Source organism: Homo sapiens, chromosome X (genome assembly GCF_000001405.40).
Source record: "Homo sapiens chromosome X, GRCh38.p14 Primary Assembly".
Classification (NCBI taxonomy): Eukaryota; Metazoa; Chordata; class Mammalia; order Primates; family Hominidae; genus Homo; species Homo sapiens.
In genome coordinates, this window is record NC_000023.11 from 24,054,571 (window position 1) to 24,079,000 (window position 24,430).

Sequence of the window (24,430 nt, forward strand, 5' to 3'; positions counted from 1 at the left end):
TCTCTGTTCCCACACCCTAGCTGATTCCCAGGTTTCGGGAAACTCCACAGGAAACGGAAATGGTCTCTCCCAGGCCAGCGCGCGCGCCGGGTTGCATCACCCGCCTCGCACGGGCCGGCGGGGCGGGGGTTTGGTGGCTGCCCTCAGTATTGCCTGCACAAATATCTACCAGGTCTGCGACGAATAGCTCCAGCAACTTCGCACCGTGTTTTCCACTCAGCCTACCGACAGGCACTGTGCAGATTCAAGCGGAGAGATGTCCAAGCAGTGAGGCCGCTGCTGCACCGGCCATCCTGAGCCCCTACTCGGCCTTCCCGTCTCCGCTTCCCCGCCCCGCACTAGGACCCCTGCAGATGATCAGGCGGCAGCCGGGGTGATTTCCTTCCTCTTTTGGCAACATGGCGGGCGGAGAAGCTGGAGTGACTCTAGGGCAGCCGCATCTTTCGCGTCAGGATCTCACCACCTTGGTGAGGTTTTGCTTGGGGAGGATGCAGAGTGAGCTCAGGAGTGGAGGTGACCGAGCCTCCCGGTGGTATTGGGACTAGTCAGTGTCGGGAGCATGGGTCAGGAGCCTGGGTCAGGAGGGAGACCTGGAACTGGGCGCCCTAAGCCATGCTCGCGCCGCCTGTACCCAGGCCAGTCCACGATCTGGGCGCAGGCGTGTACGGTCGTGGGACTTCTAGCTTCTGGAGGGTTCGGCTGGAAAGTCTTGATGTTGATTGTCATGGTTTCAGCCTCTGAACGTCTGGGAAGGGGGTGTCCTGTCTGCATTACTTTTAGTGCTAATGTTCCCAAGATTGGGGGGATCTCTGACTTCCAGATATCCCCTAATAGTTGAGTGGAGGTGTAGTCTGTTGTGTAATGATGAAGGGCTCTTAACAGCTTCCCAGCCATAGGAGTACAAAGTTACTGATAGGGAAAAGGAGCTTTAGAAGTAGTGGAAAGCTGTGCAGATGGTGGCAAGATGTAGATAGCAAACGTAAAGTCAAAGGAAAAGTTCTCATTTGTTTTACGTGCAGTGTTTTAAAATATATTTCATTGCAGGATGTTACCAAGTTGACGCCACTTTCACACGAAGTTATCAGCAGACAAGCCACAATTAACATAGGTAAGAGTAACTTAAGAGACCTAACCTTGGTCTCCAACAATTAATTTTAACCTCACTTTTTGTGTGATTACTTGAATAGTATGAGGATTCAGATATTCAAGAAATAGATACTGAGTCCTTGTGAATAAAGCATCTGCTACATTTGCGGTGCAGGGGGAGCACAAAGAATGCTGCCCACATGTAGCTTACAGACTCGGTAAGAAGAAAAAATGGAGACATAAGAAAAGTTTAATAGCATAAGGCAGTATGTAGTCATATGTAGCAGAAGTTTAAGGAAGAGGTGAAAAATGTGGCTGTACTTGACACACAGGATTATTTCAAGGGCAGAATTTATGAAAGTTTTATTTGATGTACAAGCTGTGATTAAATAGAAGGTTTTTTTTCTTAATTGGCACCTAGAACTTTAGAGGAGAAGTTACGTTGACTGAGTGTAAATTTTGGACATTTTGAGTTTGTACAAACAGCACAGTTTGTACGAAAGTAAGTTAAAAAGTACAGAAGTAAGTTAAAAAGTAAGACTAGTTTTTAACCTAGTTAAAAAGTAAGACTCCACCATGAGGCTATTAAAGTTACAGTATTACAGTCTGGAGCTTTAATTTATTAATGCAAACAAAGCCCAAATAAGCCTACAGGCCTTGAACTACTGCCCCTGCATTAAAAATTTTGGTTGAGGTGACCTTGGAGCATAACCTAACCTCCGAACAACCTATGCTAAGACTATACCAGTTAAAGCAAATTACTGTGCATATATTGACCCAATAATTTGATCAACGGAACAAGTTGCAATTAAACTTAGGTTGTTTCCTTGTTTGTTCACAGATCCCTTTTTGTTGTGTCAGGGCCCATCATACCTGTTTAATCTGGAAATGCTGGAAGGTTCCTTAATATATAAAGTTCTGGCCGGGTGCAGTGGCTTATGCTTGTAATCCCAGCCCTTTGGGAGGCCAAGGCAGGTGGATTGCTTGAGCCCAGGAGTTGGAGACCACCTGGGCAACGTGGCCAAACCCCATCTCTACAAAAAATACAAAAAATTAGCTGTGCGTGGTGGTGCATGCCTGCAGTCCCAGCTACTAAGGAGGCCGAGGTCGGAGGATTGCTCAAGCCCAGGTGGTTGAGGTTGCAGTGAGCTGTGATCAGGGCATTGCATTCCAGCCTGGGCAGCAGCAGGAGACCCTGTCTGTCCCAGAGTATATTTTTTAAGTAAAGCTGTTAGTTACATGGAAGTTTCTCTTAAGTCCTATATGAGAACACGTTTCTAGTAGGAAGGGGTATGGAGGAGGAAAAATTGAAGTCACTGTTGGTTTTATGTTGATATTTACAGCAAGTTATGGCTTTGGCTTTAATTGTATTTATTTATTTATTTATTTATTTGCGACGGAGTCTCGCTCTGTTGCCAGGCTGGAGTGCAGTGGCACGATCTCGGCTCACTGCAGCCTCCACCTCCTGGGTTCAAGTGATTCTTTTGCCTCAGCCTCCCCAGTAGCTGGGACTACAGGCATGCGCCACCACGCCCAGCTAATTTTTGTATTTTTAGTAGAGATGGGGTTTCACCATGTTGGCCAGGATGGTCTTGCTCTCTTGACCTTGTGATCCACCCACCTCGGCCTCCCAAAGTGCTGGGATTACTGGCGTGAGCCACCGTGTCCAGCTGGCTTTGGGTTTTCTACTCTTAACACTATTTGAAAAAATATTTGGTATGTAATTAAATACACATGAATTAATTTTTTGAACTTTGTCCATAGGTACAATTGGTCATGTAGCTCATGGGAAATCCACAGTCGTCAAAGCTATTTCTGGAGTTCATACTGTCAGGTTCAAAAATGAACTAGAAAGAAATATTACAATCAAGCTTGGATATGCTAATGCTAAGGTAAGCTGTGTACTGTGGAACGAGAAACTAACTTTAATTGTTGTGCAGATAACAAATCAAAATCTTTTTTTATTGAAATTTTAGATTTATAAGCTTGATGACCCAAGTTGCCCTCGGCCAGAATGTTATAGATCTTGTGGGAGCAGTACACCTGACGAGTTTCCTACGGACATTCCAGGGACCAAAGGGAACTTCAAATTAGTCAGGTGACCTCTCTTTTGCTACAAACACTACACTTTATATTTTATTGTCTTCTGTTTTGTGCTTTTTGAAATATCGAGGTGTTAAACGGTGAACCTAATGGCTAAATGGTTTTGTTGTTTTTCCATTGTTTATGTTTTTATGGGAAATCTGAAAAGTCAAGCATCTAAACCTAAGTTAAAATACTTACATGCAATTTCTCCAAACTAAAAGTATCACTTAAACAAAACAGAAAAACAACTCATTGGATTGAAGGGATTCTTTTTCTAGGCTTCCTGAATTTCTTTTAAACAGCGCTGTTTCTGTATGTTAAATAGGAGAGAAACAGAGCCATTTCTAATTACTTCTCTAAAACACTTGAACTTGTTCCCCATCTGTTTTCTGAATATGATTGCATACCTGTTTTTTTATCAGGATACTGACACCTGTCTAGTGATGTTTATGGGGATTGGAGATGCCCTACAAGGAATGTTTAGATTGGGGCAGGGCTGGGACCAGGGAGGGACAAGTGAGGCCTTCACCTCAAGCCCAAAATGTAAGTGGGCCTGGCGGTGGCAGGTATGCCAGAAAACTCAGTAATTAGGATAAATATTTTAATGCAGTGTTTTTTTTAAATTAATGCAAAAAATGTGATAAATCAGAATTTTAAATAAGGGCAGACTCTATTACTAAATTTTTTTCCCCTTTTGCTTTGGCTCAGCATGGCATTGTATTTTGTTTATGATTGATTTTTTGCATTAATTTCGACTTTTTAAAAATACTGAATGCATATATTTTTTTTTCTTTCTTTTTTTTTTTTTTTTTTTTGAGACAGTCTCTGTTGCCCAGGTTGGAGTGCAGTGGTGCGATCTTGGCTCACTGCAGCTTCCACTTCTGGGTTCAAGCAATTCTCCTGCCTCAGCCTCCCGAGTAGCTGGGATTACAGGCGTGAGCCCCCATGCCCAGCTAGTTTTTATTTTTATTTATTTATTTATTTATTTTTGAGACGGAGTCTTTCTGTGTCGCCAGACTGGAGTGCAGTGGTAGAGACGGGGTTTTACCATGTTGGCCAGGATGGTCTCGATCTCTTGACCTTGTGATCCGTCCGCCTCGGCCTCCCAAAGTGCTGGGATTACAGGCGTGAGCCACTGTGCCCGGCCTAGTTTTTATATTTTTAGTAGAGGTGGGCTTTTGCCATGTTGTATAGGCTGGTCTCGAACTCCTGGCCTCAAGTGATCTGCCCGCCTCAGCCTCCCAAAGTGCTGGGATTACAGGCATGAGCCTCCATGCCCGGCCATTTTCCTTGATTACTGAGTTTTTTGGCAGTCTCTTAAATTTTGCACTTGTCTCACTGTAGTCCTGGCCTTTAATAGGGGATCAGCAAACTTTTTCCACAAAGGGCTAGGTAGTAAATATTTTCAGCTTTGCAAGCCATAGAGTTTCTGTTGATTCTGTTCTTCTATTACAGAAGCAAACGTAGACAATACGTGTGTAAATAGGTATGGTGGTGGGCCAGATTTGGCCTAAGGGCTGACCTCTGTTTTAGATCATGACAATGTGAGCATGCGATTAAAAAAACAATTGTGACTCTGAATGAATACCATAGTTTTGTTAAAAGTGCTGCCATCTCTGCTTCAAATGGGCAATTCTAGTTTTTCAAGGTGTTAGAGGTATTTTTGGAAAATTGTTTTTTTTTTTCTCTTTTTTTTTTGAGACGGAGTTTCACTCTTGTTGCCCAGGCTGGAATGCCATGGTGCTATCTTGGCGCATTGCAACCTCCACCTCCTGGGTTCAAGCGATTCTCCTGCCTCAGCCTCCCAAGTAGCTGGGATTACAGGCATGCACCAGCTACATGTGGCTAATTTTGTATTTTTATTAGAGACCGGGTTTCACCACGTTGGTCAGGCTGGTCTCAAACTCCTGACCTCAGGTGATCCACCTGCCTTGGCCTCCCAAAGTGCTGGGATTACAGGTGTGAGCCATTGCGCCCAGCCAGAAAATTGTTTTTTCAAATTCTCATTCTGTTAACGTGGTTTTTATAAGTCATTATAAGTTTTAGCTTTCAAATCAATGACATTCTCAGTATATACTCTCCACCATTATTCTATACCATATTCATTTTCATTGGATTTTGGAGTTTATCTTCCATTCTGCACATAACTAATTTAATTTGCTTTGTAATCTGCAGTGGTTTTCATCAGCTGGTGAACTTATTTCCAAGTTCTAGAAACGACAAGCCCTGTAACCATTTTATAGCAATAAGATTATTTCCTAAGTTGATTTAACTTTAAAAAATCTAAAACTAGCATGTGTAAGTAGTGATTTATGTTAAGGCTGATTGTTATTTCTCAATCATTAGACATGTTTCCTTTGTTGACTGTCCTGGCCACGATATTTTGATGGCTACTATGCTGAACGGTGCAGCAGTGATGGATGCAGCTCTTCTGTTGATAGGTAAATACCTCACAATTGGTTTGGACAAATCAATGTGGAACAAATCCAAGATGAAATATTTAAAGGGGAACTAAGGCCTTTAAGGATCATATCTATTACCTAAGGGTGACATGAATGGGAACTAACATGTCATCCAGGATGACTTTCCTACCTATCAGCTATCACAAAATACTCAAAAAGATAGACTTGGGGCTGATAGCTTGCGAGAATTCTTGTGGTAGCATTTGAGAAAAAGAAAAAAAGTCAATAGTTCATTTTTCTCATTTAAATCACATGAGGTGATTTATTTAGTTTTAAATGTATGTGTAAAACTATTTGTGTTATGGTTTGTGTGTGTGTATGTCTGAACTGTCTACTGTGGAAGTATTTAAGATACAAATATTCATAATACGTGCTGAAGTGTAGGAATAAGTGGAGTTTTGAAGGGTAGCGTATGCTTTGTTTCTTATGTTAGCTGTTGAGAGATTTCATTACTAGGGGGTAAAATTTTTTAAAAGCTGCTGGTGCGGTGGCTCACGCCTGTAATCCTAGCACTTTGGGAGGCTGAGGTCGGCGGATCACCTGAGGTCAGGAGTTTGAGACCAGCCTGACCAACATGGAGAAACCCCCTCTCTACTAAAAATACAAAATTAGCCGGGTGTGGTGGCGCATGCTTGTAATCCCATCTACTCAGGAGAATCTCTTGAACCCGGGAGGCAGAGGTTGCAGTGAGCCAAGATTGCGCCATTGCACTCCAGTCTGGGTAACAAGAGTAAAACTACATCTCAAAAAAAAAAAAAAAAAAAAAAAGCGACTGGGCATGGTGGCTCATGGCTGTAATCCCAGCACTTTGGGAGGCCGAGGCAGGCGGATCACTTGAGGTCAGGAGTTCAAGACCAGCCTGGCCAACAGGGCGAAACCCTGTCTCTGCTAAAACTACAAAAAATTAGCCAGGCTTGGTGGTGCGTGCCTGTAATCCCAGCTACTTGGGAGGCTGAGGCACGAGAATCGCTTGAACCCAGGAGACAGAGGTTGCAGTGAGCAGAGATCGAGCCATTGCACTCCAGCCTGGGCGACAGAAGGAGACTCAGTCTTAAAAAAAAAAAAAAAAAAAGCTGGGTGCGGTGGCTCACACCTGTAATCCCTGCACTTTGGGAGGCCAAGGCAGGTGGATCACTTGAGGTGTCAGGAGTTTGAGACCAGTCTGGCCAACATGGTGAAACCCTGCCTCTATTAAAAATACGAAAATTAGCCGGGTGTGGTGGGGCACACCTGTAATCACAGCTACTCAGGAGGCTGAGGCAGGAGAATCGCTTGAACTTGGGAGGCGGAGGTTGCAGTGAGCCGAGGTGACGCCACTGCACTCCAGCCTGGGTGACAGAGACAGAGTGAGACTCAGTCTCAAAAAAAAAATTTTTTTTTTAAAGCATGCCATGTTGGTATAGTCAGGACACTTGAATATCACGACTTGAGGAGGTTGATCATTAGAGTGCTCAACAAAACATGCCTATTTCTTTATAATACACTGTTGGTTATCTTCACAATAGCATTCTTCCCTCCCTCAGTTGAAGAGTAGCCTCTGATATTAGTAAAAATTCATAGACAGTATTAAGTGCTTTTCCCTTTTAATTACTCTCTACTTCTCAGGAGCTTGCCTGGGCCAGAACATTTCTAAAACTGGAGAGAGTTAGAGGGCTATACCTCATACCTGAGCAAAAGCTGAGTGCAGACCCTGAGAAAAGCCAAACTTGCTGATTTTAAGCTTCTTGCTTAGGACCAGGATTGGGAGCCACACAATTGGGAGGTTCCAGTGAATGCAGGCAACAGAGGATGAAGCAGGGCCAAAAGGTGGATACCTGGCAATAATATCTTCCTTATTAGGGTTAGAACATTCAGAAGTCTCCTTTATTAGATGCCAACTTTTTTTGGGGCGGGGAGTGGGTGGCAAAAGAGACTCATAAAATGTACCATTTTATGTATTTACAGGGTAGAATTTAGTGGCATTAAGCACATTGACAATTTTCTACAACATAGTGGTTGTCATTTCACCACTATCTAGTTCCAGAACTTTTGTATCAGAACTTTTGTATCACCGCAAAAGGAAACCCCATGCCCATGAAGCGTCAGTCCACATGTTTTCCTCCCCCAGCCCCTTGCAACCCATAATTTGCTTTGTCTCTTTATGGATTTGCCCGCCTATTCTGGATATTTCCAGCTATTCTTATATGCATCTTTTTTATTCTTCATCAACTAGCTGGTAATGAATCTTGCCCTCAGCCTCAGACATCGGAACACCTGGCTGCTATAGAGATCATGAAACTGAAGCATATTTTGATTCTACAAAATAAAATTGATTTGGTAAAAGAAAGTCAGGCTAAAGAACAATACGAGCAGATCCTTGCATTTGTCCAAGGTAAGAAGCCATAATATGAAATAAATCTATGAATCACTTTGAGAGGCATTTACTCTGGATACCAGATGTTAAATTAACTTTTAATATATTATCTAAAACAAGGTAAACTTACAAGTCTTAAGCCTTATCGCCCTACCTTTTGCTTGTTAGTAACCTGATATAACTAATGAAACCTGTGATTCTGAATTTAATATACTAAAGTATATTTTTGCTGGCAGCAAGTTAGAACTGAGGTTGTTTTCTGGAAACTTTATCAATCAGATTAAAAAAAATCTCAGTGACAGTAAAATGAATAAAATAATTTTAAAAAACCTTGTCTTACAGTATTTGTTACTGAACAGCTTTCAGATTTGGAAGTGACAGTGATTATTTAATCTCTAGAGTGTCGGCCGGGCATGGTGGCTCACACCTGTAATCCCAGCACTTTGGGAGGCTGAGGCAGGTGGATCATCTGAGGTCGGAAGTTCGAGACCAGCCTGACCAACACGGAGAAACCCCATCTCTACTAAAAATACAAAATTAGCAGGGTGTGGTGGCACATGCCTGTAATCCCAGCTACTTGGGAGGCTGAGGCAGGAGAATCGCTTGAACTTGGGGGGCGGAGGTTGCGGTGAGCCGAGATCACGCCATTGCACTCCAGCCTGGGCAACAAGAGCGAAACTCCATCTCAAATAAATAAATAATAAATCTCTAGAGTGTCCCTTCTCTAATAGCATAATGTTTTTCATTTCAGAGGAGATGTGATTTATTGTTGACATTTTCTCTCTCAGTCTTGTTTTTCTTTTTAGAAAGGTTAATTTCTTATGAACTCAGTTCTGTCATCACGAGAAGTAATAAGTGAATTTGATTAAAGTCTAATTGTGTTTGGTCTATTTCTTTGACTAGCTTGTTTGACGTATAATCAATACGTAGCAAATATATATGGTTGGGCGTGGTAGCTCACACTTGTAATACCAAGACTTTAGGAGGCTGAGGCGGGTGGGTCACTTGAGTCCAGGGGTTCAAGACCAACCTGGGCCACGTGGTAAAACTCTGTCAATACAAAAAATTAGCTGGGCTTGGTGGCACACACCTGTGTTCCCAGCTATTATGTAGGAGGCTGAAGTGGGAGGATCGCTTGGGCCTGGGAAGTGGAGGTTGCAACAAGCCGTGATTATGCCACTGCAGTCTAGCCTGGGTGACAAAGCGAGACCCTATCTCCAAAAAAAAAAAGTATATATGCCAGCAGTCTTTGATTAGCAGAGTCTGTAATTTTATCTTGACATTTATTGGGAGATTAATTACATGTTGTTAGAAATTTTTTCAACTAGTAGAGTGCTCTTTCACAGGAATGTTAGTATTTTCTTTATTTAAATAAGTTTATCATTGTACTAATATTAAGTATGTCTACTAATATAATGTAACAAATTTTCTCTTACAGGGATTTGTATTCATTTTCAGGAGTAAAAACAAACAATATTGCCATCTTTCTAAACAGAATTATCCACTTTCCACTTGTTGCTGACATTTATATGGGGTTTAGGCATCTATTTTATTATAGTAATCTTAATTGTTTTATGTAACAGATACATAGAATAAATTTTATAAAACTGTATAATTTTGATCTTTCTAAATTTTGTCATATAGGTACAGTAGCAGAGGGAGCTCCCATTATTCCAATTTCAGCTCAGCTGAAATACAATATTGAAGTTGTTTGTGAGTACATAGTAAAGAAAATTCCAGTACCCCCAAGAGACTTTACTTCAGAGCCCCGGCTTATTGGTAAGTGATAGGATTTGCCTTTAACTCTTAATCTGATCTTTTCCACATTGGTGATTCCTCTTCAAGGATGTTTATTAATATTTCCTCTTTCTGCAGAGGTGATAATTCATACAATTTTTTTGAAATCAATTCTGAGATTGTATTGGCAGTGCTAGATTGTATTACTGAATGAGGGACAGAGTCCTGAACACAGTAAGAACTGTTAACCTAAGCCGGGCGCAGTGGCTCACGCCTATAATCCCAATACTTTGGGGGGCCGAGGTGGGTGGATCACCTGAGTTCAGGAGTTTGAGACCAGCCTGATCAGCATGGTGAAACCCTGTCTCTACTAAACATATAAAAAATTAACTGGGCATGGTGGCGGGTGCCTGTAATCCCAGCTACTCGGGAGGCTGAGGCAGGAGAATGGCGCGAACCCGGGAAGCGGAGGTTGCAATGAGCTGAGATCGCGCCATTGTACTCCAGCCTGGGCAACAAGAGTGAAACTGCGTCTCAAAAAAACCCAAAAACAACTGCTAACCTTTCTGTGCTTAATATATGGTACATGATCAAGATGGAGTAATACAGTATTCTCCATGGAATCATAATGTTTTAGGGTGTTAGAACTTCCTGACTAAAACATTTACAGATGATTTTGTTGTTCAATTAACGAAGAACTGATACTGGTATAATTTGATCACCTAGGCTTGTGGTTCCTACACGGGGATGTAGTAGCCTTCTCGAAACAGACATTTGAGCTCCTCTGGCTTTCATCCGAGCTTCTGGTGTTTAGTAGGAAATAGTCTCCGAAGTGCAGGTCATGTAGTCCTAGTGTTTTATAGTTATAAAGCTGAATTGTTCTTACAGGAGTTACAGAGGTCTATAAAGAAAATGTCCATAATCTCTCTGTCTTCAAGTTCTAGTTCCTTAGCCCTAAAGTCAGCAAAGTTAACATTTGGTGTCCATTATTCCCACACTTTTCTCTTTGTTCATATCATCGTGTATAAACATATACACAGGCTGGGCATGGTGGCTTTCACCTGTAATCCCAGCACTTTGGGAGGCTGACGCTGAGGTGAGAGGATTGCTTGAGGCTAGGAGTTCAGGACCATCCTGGGCATTAAGGGAAGACCCCATTTCTACAAAAAATAAAATATTACAGCTGGGTGCAGTGGTGTGTACCTGTAGTCCGAGCTACTCGGTAGGCTGAGGCAGGAAGATTGAGCCCAGGAATTTGAGGCTGCAGTGAGCTATGATTGTGCCACTGCACTCCAGCCTCTATGATAGAGGGAAAAAAAAATCCATATACAGACATTGATTATTTTATTTTTCTTTATGGAAGTGGGATTATATTATGCGTGTAATTTTTATAACTTTTCTTAACAGTATGTGAGGGTCATCCTTCCAGATCATTACATATAGCTCTAACATTGTTAATAGCTGCGTGATGCTCTATAATACTGGTATACCCTATATGCCACTTATTAATAAACTTAAGTTACTTTCATTTTTTCCATCATAAGTAAGACTGCTTAATCATTGGAATAATAATAGATTTTGTTAAAAAGGCACCCCTTTGGTATAAATCTCAAATGGCCACTATTTTAGAAACATTAACATGGAAAATAATATTTCTTCTAAAGTTAAGATTAACAGAACTGACTTTAATTTGTTTTATTTTAGTTATTAGATCTTTTGATGTCAACAAACCTGGCTGTGAAGTTGATGACCTTAAGGGAGGTGTAGCTGGTGGTAGTATCCTAAAAGGAGTATTAAAGGTAAAATGGGTTTTGGTTGTTGTGATTTTGGGTTTTTTTTTTTTGTTGTTTGTTTGTTTGTTTTATCCTTGTCTTAATCAGGAAAAAAAGTATGGACAATCCAAATTGAAAAATAAAATTTTTTCCATGGTTTCTGGTATTTGATGTAGAGTTCTCTTTTTTAATATTCTTTTTTTCTCTCTTCAAACTTCACTCCTCCCACCCTTCTAGACCTCTGAATCCACAATCTACCTTCATGAGATCCACCTTTTTAGCTTCCACATATACAGATGAGTGAGAATGTGTGATATTTGTCTTTTTGTGCCTGGCTTATTTTACTTAACAAAATGGCCTCCAATTCTAGATGTGCTGCTGCAAATGGCAGAATTTTTTTTTATGGCTGCATAATACTTCATTGCATATATATATATGCTGCCATTGCTTTTCTTTTCTTTTTTTTTTTTTTCTTGAGGCGGAGTCTTGCTGTTTCGCCCAAGCTGGAGCGATCTCAGCTCACTGCAACCTTCACCTCCTGGGTTCAAGCGATTCTCCCTGCCCCAGCCTCCCAAGTAGCTGGGATTACAAGCACCCCCCACCATGCCCAGCTAATTTTTGTATTTGTAGTAAAGACAGGGTTTCACCATGTTGGCCAGGCTGGTCTTGAACTCCTTACCTCAAGTGATCCACCCGCCTCGGCCTCCCAAAGTGTTGGGATTATAGGCGTGAGCCACTTTGCCCGGCCTATATACTGCATTTTCTTTATCCATTCATCTGTTCATGGGCACTTAGGTTGATTCCATGTTTGGCTATTGTGAACTGTGCTACAATAAACATGGGAGTGCAGATACCTCTTTGATAATATTGCTTCCCTTTCTGGTGAATGTATACCCACTAGTGAAACTGATGGATCATATGGTAGCTGTATTTTCAGGTTTTCAAGGAACCTCCATACTGTTCTCCATGGTAGCTATACTAATTTACATGCTCTGATAATAGTTTTTTTTTTGTTTTGTTTTTTGAGCACAGTGGCATGATCTTGACTCACTGCAACCTCCACCTCCTGGGTTCAGGTGATGATTCTCCTGCCACAGCCTCCCGACTTGCTGGGGCTACAGGCACTCGCAACCTCGCCCAGCTAATTTTTTTGGTAGAGATGGGGTTTTGCCATATTGGCCAGGCTGGTCTCTTAACTCCTGACCTCAGGTGATCTGCCTGCCTCAGCCTCCCAAAGTGCTGGGATTACAGGCATAAGCCACCACGCCCAGCTATATTTCTTTGTTTTCTGTTATGTCTTTTGAATGTGTCTGACTTGAAAATTTATAGACTTGTAAGTATGGAGCACATTTGATGTGGTAATAGACTTGTGTGGTGGGTAGTTAACAACAGTTGGATGGTTCTGGTTTTGACAGTCTCGTTCACATCTTTTTTTTTTTTTTTTTTTAAGAATAATGATCTTTGAAATACAGGAATGATTGCCTTTTCAGTTTTATGGTCTTCCGGTTGGACCTTTATTATTATTTTATTTTATTTTATTTTTGAGACAGAGTCTCTCTTTGTCACCCAGGCTGGAGTGCAGTGGTGCGATCTCGGTTCACTGCAACCTCTGCCTCCCAGGTTCTAGCAATTCTGCCGCAGCCTCCTGAGTAGCAGGGATTACAGGTGCGTGCCACCACACCTGGCTAATTTTTGTGTTTTTAGTAGAGACGGGGTTTCACTATGTTGGCTGGGCTGGTCTCGAACTCCTGACCTCAGGTGATCCACCCGCCTCGGCCTCCCAAAATGCTAGGATTACACATGTGAGCCACCGCACCCAGTCCCTGTTGGAACTTTTGATAGGTAAATGATAATTTTGCGTAACACAGTAATTCTAATTACTAATTATATGTTTACAGGTGGGCCAGGAGATAGAAGTAAGACCTGGTATTGTTTCCAAAGATAGTGAAGGAAAACTCATGTGTAAACCAATCTTTTCCAAAATTGTATCACTTTTTGCGGAGCATAATGATCTGCAATATGCTGCTCCAGGCGGTCTTATTGGTAAGGATTTTTTTCTCATCTCTTTTAATTTGTGGCTATTTGTGGTACTTTTCATGGGGGATGGATTACCAAAAGGGACATATTACAGATTTTTAATTGGGTATTTTAATAATAGAGTAGGGTGGGGAACAATCATGTGGTTAAGCTCTTGTTTTAGGTTATAAGATGGTTTCATGGGTTTGTAAAAATTATTTTTAAACACAAAGGATACATTTTGATCAAATATAGAGTAACTCCTTTTTAGCAATATAAAAAAATAAATTTGATGACTTATCATGTAAGATATTTACCTACACTTATGTTTTTGTTAACATGATTTTTGTGCTAGATAATGGTTGCCTTTTTTTTTTTTGGGAGATGGAGTCTCGCTGTGTCCTCCAGGCTGGAGTGCAGTGGTGCAATCTTGGCTCACTGCAGCCTCTGCCTCCCAGGTTCAAGCAATTCTTATGCCTCAGCCTCCCGAGTAGCTGGGACTACAGGCACATGCTGCCAGGCCCAGCTAAGATTTTTGTATTTTAGTAGAGACGGGGTTTCACCGTGTTGCCCAGGCTGGTCTTGAACTCCTGAGCTCAGGCAGTCCCCCTGCCTCGGCCTTTCAAAGTGCTAGGATTACAGGCGTGAACCACCATGCCCGGCCATGGTTGCTTTTATGTATATTTTGCAAATGGAAAATTACCTACAAATGTCAGTTGAATGATATCAGGTCGTATTTCCAATGAGGTAGAAATAAAAGAAAGTAAATTTCTTTGTGTAGCAATTACTGAAGTGATTTAAAAACTTTTCTAGTCCCTTACAACTTAGTGTATTACTCAATACCCAGAAAAATGAAAGATTCAGTGAGAATTAGAAGGGGTGTTGTACCTTTAGATTAAAGAAGAAAATGTTTGGTAAAGAAACAGTTAATTCTTCACCCAATAAGTTGTGTCTCTGGTTGAAAATTTTAAAAAGGAAATAAAAGAAAACAAAAAAATGAAAAAGAGTTTACCAGGTTGGCTGGGCGCAGTGTCTCATGCCTGTGATCCCAGCAATTTGGGAGGCTGAGGTGGGTGGATCGCTTGAGCTCAGGAGTTTGAGACCAGCCTGGGCAACATGGTAAAACCTTGTCTCTACTAAAAATACAAAAGTTAGCTGGGTGTGGTGGCCCACGCCTGTAATCCCGGCTACTCGGGAGGCTGAGGCATGAGAATCGCTTGAACCCAGAAGGCGGAGGGTGAGCCGAGATCACACCAGTGCACTCCAGCCTGGGTGACAGAGTGACACTCTGTCTCAAAAAAAAAAAAAAAACAAGAAGAAAAGAAAAGAAAAAATGAATTTACCAGGTTGGGTATGGTGGCTCATGCTCATAATTCCAGTGCTTTGGGAAGCTGAGGTGGGAAGATTGCTTGAGACCAGGAGTTTGAGACCAGCCTAGGAAACCATGAGATGCCATTTCTCCAATAAAATAGTAAGATTAGCTGGGTTTGGTGGTGTGTGCCTGTAGTTCCATCTATCATTTTATCTTTTGTGTGCATGTGTGTGGTAAACAAGGGAAATCTGGAAACTTTTTAAAAATTTAACTTAAGGAACTTTTTTAATTTCTTTTTTTTTTTTTTTTTTTTTTGAGGCAGAGTCTCATTCTGCCACCCAGGCTGGAGTGCAGTAGTATTATCTCGGCTCGCTGCAACCTTTGCCTCCTGGGTTCAGTTAATTCTCCTGCCTCAGCCTCCCGAGTAGCTGGAACTATAGGCACATACCACCACAGCCAGCTAATTTTTGTATTTTTAGTAGAGATGGGGTTTCGCCATGTTGGCCAGGCTGGTCTCGAACTTCTGGTCTTAAGTGATCTGCCCTCCTTGGCCTCCCAAAATACTGGGATTACAGGCGTGAGCCACCACACTTGGCCTAAGGAACTCTTTAAACATAGGATAGAATACTGTAATGATAACCCCCATAGAGCCATCACTCAGCTTCAGCAATTATTAATGTTTTACCAGTCTTGGCTGGGCGTGGTGGCTCATGTCTGTATTCCCAGCACTTCGGGAGGCCGAGGTGGACGGATCACCTGAGGTCAGGAGTTCGAAAAACCCTGTCTCTACTAAAAATACAAAAAAAAAAAAAAATTTAGTCAGGTGTGGTGGCACATGCCTGTAATCCCAGCCTGTAATCCCAGGTCACAGTGAGCCGAGATCACACCACTGCACTCCAGCCTGGGCGACAGAGACTGTGTCTCAACAACAGCAGCAAAAAAAAGTTTTCCCAATCAATCTTGCTCCATCTATATATCTTCTTTCCCCTACTCCCCTCAAGACACAGCTAGAATATTTTGAAGTAGATCCCAGGAATCATATGTAGTTTTTTTTTTTTTTTTTTTTTTTGAGAGTCTCACTCTGTCGCCCAGGCTGGAGTGCAGTGGCACGATCTCGGCTCACTGCAACCTCTGCCTCCCAGGTTCAAGTGATTCTCCTGCGTTAGCCTCTCGAGTAGCTGGGATTATAGGTGTCTGCCACCATGCCCAGCTATTGTATTTTTAGTAGAGATTGGGTTTTGCCATGTTGGCTAGACTTGTCTTGAACTCCTGACCTTAGGTAATCCTCCAACTTGGGCCTCCCCAAGTGCTGGGATTATAAGTGTGAGCCACTGCGCCTGGCCCATATGTAGTCTTTAACTATCTTTTCAATCAGTCTTTCAGGGGAGAAATGGCATGCAGGTATTCTGCAAACTACTCATTTTGAATTTTGTATTCTTTCGGTCTTTGTTAAGGATATTCGGACTCATTTTGAGTTCACTTATTATCTCTATTTGCCCTTTGTTTAGAATTTATTGTTTTCAAGACCAGGTCAGTAATACTTACCATCTCCTGCATTAAGTTCTCAGCCAAGCCATCATTCCTAGAAAATCAGATTTCTAAACCCTTTGTTTAGAATTTAAATCAAGAGAATCGTTCTGTTCTCATTTGCCCAGTCATCTCATGAGTGTATATTTCTATTTGTCTAGATAAAACAGGTATTTTCTTGTACCTATATAGCTATTATATGAGTATAAAAATAAAAGTATGAAAGTGTGTAGGTATATGCTGTGCTTATATGGCTTTGGGGTATCTAATTCACTTTTTTTTTTTTTGGAGACAGAGTCTCACTCTGTCACCCAGGTTGGAGTGCAGTGGTGCGATCTCGGCTCACTACAACCTCTGCCTCCTGGGTTCAAGTGATTCTCCTGCCTCAGCCTCCCAAGTAGCTGAGACTACAGGTGCACGCCGCCACGCCTGGCTAATTTTTTGTATTTTAATAGAGACAGGGTTTCACCGTGTTGCCCAGGCTGGTCTTTAACTCCTGAGCTCAGGCATCCACCTGCCTCGGCCTCCCAAAGTGCTGGGATTACAGGTGTGAGCCACTGCACCTGGCCAACTAATTCACTTTATAGGTGTTTTAGGAAATAAAAAATTGAGCTATATACATCTTATTTTTATATAGGAGTTGGAACAAAAATTGACCCCACTTTGTGCCGGGCTGACAGAATGGTGGGGCAAGTACTTGGTGCAGTCGGAGCTTTACCTGAGATATTCACAGAATTGGAAATTTCCTATTTCCTGCTTAGACGGCTTCTAGGTGTACGCACTGAAGGAGACAAGAAAGCAGCAAAGGTAAATGCTTTTTTAAAAATTCCTGTTTCTAAAAAAGTGACAAATGGGAGTGTTAAACCAGTGTTGAGTTTTATTGTTTTACAGTTAACATGAAATTAAGAAAAAAAGAAAAGGTAAATAAATTTGACCTCCCCAAAATTGAGGGTTTTTTTTTTTTTAATTTAGAGATGGAGTCTCTCGCTCTGTTGCCCAGGCTGGAGTGCAGTGGCGCGATCTCGGCTCACGGCAACCTCCACCTCCTGGGTTCAAGCAATTCTCTTGCCTCGGTTTCCCAAGTATATGGGACTACAGGCACGCACCAGCACGCCCAGCTAATTTTTGTATATTTTAGTAGAGATGGGGTTTCACTATATGTTAGCCAGGCTGGACTTGACCTCCTGACCTCAAGTGATCCGCCCGCCTTGGCCTCCCAAAGTGCTGAGATTACAGGCATGAGCCACTGCGTCCGGCCAAAATTGAGAACTATATGGCAGTTAGTTTAAGAAAGAAACTTAATAAACAGGGAAAAGTATTAGCCATTTATGACAAAGACATGATATTCCTAAAATCCATATTTTTGTTTTGTTGTTTATTTTGAGACAGAGTCTTGCTCTGTTGCCCAGGCTGGAGTGCAGTGGTGCGATCTCGACTCACAGCAGCCTCGATCTCCCAGCTCAAGCCATCCTCCCACCTTAACCTCCTGAGTTGCTGGGACTACAGGTGTGGGTCACCACGCCTGGCTAATTTTGTATTTTTTGTAGAGACGGAGTTTTGCCGCATTACCCAGGCTGATCTCCAACTCCTGGGCTTGAGCAATCTGCCCACCCCAGCCTCCGAAAATGCTGGGATTAACAGGTGTGATCCACTGCGCCCAGCTTCATGATTTTTAAAAAATGTCCCAGATTAGGTTGGCAGAGATGGGAAATTGCTGACACCTAGTGTTGGCAAAGATTGAGGAAAATAAGCTATCATGCTTTTTTTTCCCCCCACTCAGGTGATCTGCCTTCCTCGGCCTCCCAATGTGCTGGGATTACAGGCGTGTGCCACTGCGCCTGGCCCATATTAACTCTTATATAGCCATAGTCCTTCATGCTCCCCTCTTTGGGAAATTTTGTACCTCATTTGTACTAGGTAACTGCTTCAGAATTTTAAGAGGTACTCTGGTACGGTTACTACCCTATTTTTTAAAGGTAGATCTTGTGTAAATTCAGTGGGTGCCAAATAAACTATACTATATATAGTTCAAATTCCTTTACAATGAAATTTCTATAGAATTTTTTTTATGATTGACATATTTCCCAATAGTATTTGGTAAATTCTTACTTACATTTGGAAAGCATTTTCTTGATTTTGGGGTTTATTTTTCCCTAATTTATTTTTCTAGGTTCAAAAGCTGTCTAAGAATGAAGTGCTCATGGTGAACATAGGATCCCTGTCAACAGGAGGGAGAGTTAGTGCTGTCAAGGCCGATTTGGGTAAAATTGTTTTGACCAATCCAGTGTGCACAGAGGTAGGAGAAAAAATTGCCCTTAGCCGAAGAGTTGAAAAACACTGGCGGTAAGTTTGTTAGTCTTTGCCACTGTCTAATTAAAAAAAGACACAGTCTTGTACAGAAAAAAAAGCACACAATCTTCCTTGAGGACAACAGTTACTGTGGCTTTCAGTCTCAACTATTTATTTGGATGACTTTGAAAACTATACTTCGGCCGGGTGCGGTGGCTCACGCCTGTAATCCCAGCACTTTGGGAGGCCTAGGCGGGTGGATCATGAGGTCAGGAGATCAAGACCATCCTGGCTAACATGGTGAAACCCCGTCTCTACTAAAAAATACAAAAAATTAGCCGGGCGTGGTGGCGGGCGCCTGTAGTCCCAGCTACTCGGGAGGCTGAGGCAGGAGAATGGCGTGAACCTGGGAGTCGGAGCTTGCAGTGAGCCGAGATGGCGCCACTGCACTCCAGCCTGGGCGACAGAGCGAGACTCCGTCTCAGAAAAAACTACAACCTTGACTATAGTCCCATATTTTAGTCCAAATACTGTGATTGGCTTCTCTTCCTGTTAGACACAACCTATGCAAAACCAAATGAATTTGGGTTCGGTATTTCTATCGTCATTGGCTTTGGAAATCATTTCACACTTAATAGAAAAATTGTAAGAGTTTTACAGAAAACTCCTCTATAGCTTTTTCCTAGATTGACAAACACACATACAGATTTATTTACATATATAAGTTTTTTTCTGAACCATTTGAGTGTAGGCTATATATGTTATGCTTCTTGATCTCTTAATACTTCAGTGTATATTTCCCATCAAAAAAGGATATTCTTATGTAACCACTTAGAAATTTAACATTGGCAAAATACTGAAATCTACAGTGCATGTTTCAGTTTTATTACTTGTCCCAATAATGTACTTTATGTTCCTCCTGTTTAGAATCTTGAATTGCATTTAATTTCATGTCTCTTTGATCTTTAATCTGGAGCTTTTTCAGCCTTTGTCTTAATTGACATTAACAGTTCTGAAGAATACAAACTAGTTACTTTATAGAATATTCCTCAATTTGGGTTTTTCTTATCATTCGGAAGCCTAACATTAGATTCAGTTATATATTCTTAACTTAAATACACCGTGAAGTCTCCTTTTCAGGAATCACAGCTAGAGGCACATGATATCTGACTGCTCCTCTTTGTTAAGGTTAGTTTTGACTATGTAGTCAAGATGTTGTCCAGCTTCTCTGCTGTGTAGTTACTCTCTACCCTTGCAACTAATAAGCAATCTGTAGGGAGATCTTTCTAGCCAGTACAAATAGCCTGCTGATCATTGAATCCCACACCCCTGGATGTAGCATCCACTGATGATTCTTGCCTGAATCGAACTTGACTATAATGATTACAAAATCATAGCACCTCTACGGGTTGCAGTATCCTCCCTCAACTCTACCACCCCACATTTATCATTTGGCATTCTTTCTTTGCCATTATTTATTTCCCTATCTAGTTATAATATGGACTCATGGAGTCCTATTTTATTCAACATGTTATGATCCATCACTGTCTTCCTTTATTTTGATGTGCATTGTTCGACGTTTGGCCAGTGGAGGTCCTTCAGGCTGGCTCTTGTGTCCTTTTGACATGTACTCATCATTTTTTTTTCTTCTTCTTTTTTTTTTTTTTTTTTTTTGAGATGGAGTCTTGCTTTGTCGCCGGGGTAGAATGCAGTGGCATGATCTCAGCTCACTGCAACCTCTGCCTCCCAGGTTCAAGCAATTCTCCTGCCTCAGCCTCCCGAGTAGCTGGGACTACAGGCACACGCCACCACACCCGGCTAATTTTTGTATTTTCAGTAGAGACGGGGTTTCACCACGTTGGCCAGCCTGGTCTTTAACCCCCGACCTCAGGTGATCCGCCCTCCTTGGCCTCCCAAAGTGCTGGGATTACAGGCATGAGCCACCACGCCTGACCTCTTTCTTCTTTTTTTTGGAACATTTCCTTATTTTCTGGCACAAAATCTTCCAGACTCATCTTGTACCTTCTCTGTTCCAGTTTTAGAACTGGCCATTTCTCTTATAAATGAAAAGCTGAGTGTTCAGGTGTGCTCATGGCTCTTAGGGTGCTGTTGCTTCTAGGTCTTTTGAGAGCATAGAGCCAGGAAGCATACACACATTTTTGGCTCCTGACTTTTTGCTCTTTCCCAGGTTATTGAGTTTGCCCCTTGCTTTCCATTCCTCGTCACCTCATCACAGTCCATACCACCATCACTTTACACTTCACAGTTAGTGCGAAAGACTCCTAGTTTGCCTCTTAACTTGGTCAAAATTAGTCTTCTTAAAACATTTTCATCATGCTGTGTTTAATAATTTCTAGAGTCTTCTCACTACTTTTTGATATTTGGGACTTTTCTAGAAACCTGCTTCAACCCATTTAAGCTTTCCTTCTGCATTGTCTTATATAAACCCTCTAAATTAGACTGTTTTGTGCCCTAACTGTCCCCATAATTATTCACATCACCCCTACCCACTATCTACTTCCTTAATTATTTATTTTATATTTTTTAGAGGCAGGGTCTCTCTGTTGACCAGGCTGGAGTTTAGTGGCATGATCATAGCTCACTGCAGCCTCAGTGTCTAAGTAGCTAGGACTATTGGCTCACACCACCGTGATCAGCTAATTTTTTTGTTTTTTGTAGACACTTGGTCTCACTGTGTTGCCCAGCATGATCTCAAACTCCTGGCCTCAAGCCATCCTCCCACCTCAGCCTCTCAAAGTGTTGGGATTACAGACATGAGCCACCCCGCCCAGCCCTGTTTCCTTTATTAAGGCTTCCATGCTACTGTGCCCACGATGGTCTCATCACTTGTCCAGGAGATTTATCTGAATTATTGCCCTGTAATTTAGAAAGTTAAATTTTTGTTGTCTCTTAAGTAAATAATTATTTGTGGTGACTTATGCCCTTTTGATTTTACTGTCTTTTGTGATTATATTTTTTTGCTATTACAGACACACGACTTCCAGTGTATTTTGAAATAGATTTAAGCAATAAACTTTCAGTCCAGGCACGGTGGCTCATGCCTGTAAGCCCAGCACTTTGTGAGGCCGAGGTGGGCGGATCACTTGAGGCCAGGAGTTCGCAACCAGCCTGGCCGACATAGTGAAACCCCATCTCTACTAAAAATACCAAAAAATCAGCCGGGCATGGTGGCGCATGCCTGTAGTCCCAGCTACTCGGGAGGCTGAGGCATGAGAATTGTTTGAACCCAGGAGCCAGAGGTTGCAGTGAGCCGAGATCGTACCACCGCACTCCAGACTGGGTGACAGAGTGAGACTGTCTCAGAAAAAACACACAAAAGCAAGAATAAAAAAGAATCTAAGAATATAGTGTGGGCTTTCTTTATGGAGGAGCAGGCTTTGGGAACAAATTTGAATTCAGAAGATAAGCAGGTAAAATTTATCACAAGATTGTGTGGTAATGAGAGTGAAGTGGATGTAAGATTTATGATTTCTTTTATTTTCATTTTGCAGTTTAATTGGTTGGGGTCAGATAAGAAGAGGAGTGACAATCAAGCCAACAGTAGATGATGACTGAAGAATACCAGTTAAATAATACATTCGGATGGATTTGGAAGTTGGAATTCCTCTTAACAACCAAGGGGTTTATTTTCAAAGCAATATTGGGGAATTGATTTCACAGTTCGTTACCTTAGTAGGTAACGGTAAGGTTATTCTCTTTTTTTTTTTTTTTTTTTTTGGTTATGAAAACTTAGGGACTAAAATTAATATAAAAATTGGCATAATGTTGGATTGAATCTACATTTTGGCAGAAGTTAAACATTCCCACATAATGTCAAAATTATACATCATGCAGTTCTGTTTTTTTGTTTGTTTTATTTTGTTTTGTTTTTGAGTCTGGCTCTGTCACCCAGGCTGGAGTGCAGTGGCGTGATCTGCAACCTCTGCCCCCCGGGTTCAAGCGATTCTCCTGCCTCAGCCTCCCGAGTAGCTGAGATTACAGGTGCGCGCCACCACACTTGGCTAATTTTTGTATTATTAGTAGAGACGGGGTTTCAGCATGTTGGCTAGGCCGGTCTCTCCTGACCTCAGGGTGATCAGCCCACCTCGGCCTCACAAAGTGCTGGGATTACAGGCGTGAGCCACCTTGCCCAGCCCACATCATACAGTTTGAAATGAAACTTTGCCACAACCAGCCTTTGCTGTAGCACACACATATATCACTGAACCTGTTTGAAATAAAGTTTTTTTTCTTTTTCATGATTCGTCTTTGAGTACCTCCAGGCTGAAAGACTGTTGTACCAGTAAAAACTTAAAGGCACAAATTCTCCTTGAAGACCTTCTCCCTTTTATGTGGCCCCATATTTTATGTTGCTTTATCTTTGAAATTTTGCATGAAAAGGAAATGAATGGATTCGAATGAAATTGTCCTTTAGAGCATGATTACTTGTTCCCATGGACAAATATTTTTCTCCCCTTGCTCTTCCTGGCCTGAAACACGGGAAACCAGAGTCAAAAGTTATCTCCCTCTCCCTGTGATGCCTTGAGATTTTTTTCTGCGTTGTTTAATGCCTGAAATCCAAGTCTTCCTCCATGGGAAAATACTGTTATACCAAATAATTCTAGATGAGTAACAAAGATCTTTTTAGGCCTTCATTTTATGTTTTTTCTTAACTGTTATATTATGATTGTGACATAGATTATACTACTACTAATTTTTGGATGTTTCAAAAGGTCAAGAAGTAAAAGATGTTAGAAAGCAATGAGTGAGTCCTTTTGATTTTTAACTTATTCCCCATGTCCCTATACTTCGTGTGCTTTTCCTTTTTTTTTTTGAGACGGAGGCTCACTCCGTCACCTAGGCTAGAGTACAGTGGCACGATCTTGGCTCGCTGCAACCTCTGCCTCCCTGATTCAAGTGATTCTCGTGCTTCAGCCTCCCATGTAGCTGATATTACAGGCACTTGCCACCATACCCGGCTAATTTTTGTATTTTTAGTAGAGATGGGGTTTCACCATGTTGCCCAGGCTGGTCTTGAACTCCTAACCTCAGGTGATCCGCCCGCCTCTGCCTTCCAAAGTGCTGGGATTACAGGCGTGAGCCACTCTGCCCGGCTTATTTTTCTTTATGTTTTTGCTTCGTAAGAGGTTCTGTTGAGCAGTGATTTGCAACTCTTGCTGACGTTGCTGGGGAAGCTTTAAAAAAAAAAAAGATGCCCCACAGAGATTCTGATTTTAATTGTTCTGATTTAATTGGCTTGGAGTAGAATTCAGGCATTGATATCTTTAAAAACTCCCCAGTGTTGAGAAACAAATTTAGAGAGTTGAGAAGTAGGTATATTAAATTACAGAATCTTACTGAGTTTTGGTAGACTGATAATACAATTTGCTTTGCTTTTCTTAAATTTGCATTGAGATGGGATTTGAAGCATATTGTGCTCTTGTGAATGTTGAAGTTGCATTGTAGAAGTTTAGAAGCTCTGGCTATGGGTTGCCTAAATTGATGTTTTGAGGAAGCATATTAATGTTATAAACTTCGCTGACTTTGAAGGTTGTGTTGTAGCATGAGGAACACAAATAAAACAATTCTAAATCAAACTAATTTTATATCTAACATGTCCCCATGTGTTTTGTAGGTACCTTCTACCAGAAATTTTGGAATAAGACTTAAAATATAGACATTGTAATTAATCTCATGTAAGATTTGAAACCAGAATTCTATTATAATTAATTTCAGACATCCACATGAATTAGCAAATTTGTAAAGCACTGTACTGAGTGTAATGGGCATA

General features: G+C 41.6%; 1 protein-coding gene across 1 annotated transcript, besides 2 other annotated features; it reads left to right on the plus strand.

Moving 5' to 3' along the window:
• Positions 5-554: an enhancer, noted in NCBI's record as "active region_29496". NCBI's record gives its function as "activates an Ori minimal core promoter by ATAC-STARR-seq in GM12878 lymphoblastoid cells {active_cell/tissue: GM12878}" and the evidence as "EXISTENCE:reporter gene assay evidence [ECO:0000049][PMID:35858748]".
• On the plus strand, positions 386-24,240 carry EIF2S3 (eukaryotic translation initiation factor 2 subunit gamma). Its single transcript, NM_001415.4, has 12 exons — positions 386-467; positions 1,045-1,108; positions 2,851-2,978; positions 3,063-3,184; positions 5,518-5,612; positions 7,846-8,004; positions 9,631-9,765; positions 11,428-11,522; positions 13,394-13,538; positions 16,988-17,157; positions 18,521-18,693; positions 22,152-24,240. The coding sequence occupies exons 1-12, from the start codon at positions 399-401 to the stop codon at positions 22,213-22,215; spliced, it is 1,419 nt and encodes a 472-aa protein (NP_001406.1). The 5' UTR covers positions 386-398; the 3' UTR covers positions 22,216-24,240.
• Positions 575-644: an enhancer, noted in NCBI's record as "active region_29497". NCBI's record gives its function as "activates an Ori minimal core promoter by ATAC-STARR-seq in GM12878 lymphoblastoid cells {active_cell/tissue: GM12878}" and the evidence as "EXISTENCE:reporter gene assay evidence [ECO:0000049][PMID:35858748]".

Bases quoted from the DNA above. Each gene is read 5' to 3' on its own strand.
- EIF2S3 (NM_001415.4), top strand. From the start codon at position 399: ATGGCGGGCGGAGAAGCTGGAGTGACTCTAGGGCAGCCGCATCTTTCG. The intron at 13,539-16,987 runs GTAAGGATTTTT...ATTTTTATATAG, and splicing joins TGCTCCAGGCGGTCTTATTG to GAGTTGGAACAAAAATTGAC. The intron at 17,158-18,520 runs GTAAATGCTTTT...TTATTTTTCTAG, and splicing joins GAGACAAGAAAGCAGCAAAG to GTTCAAAAGCTGTCTAAGAA.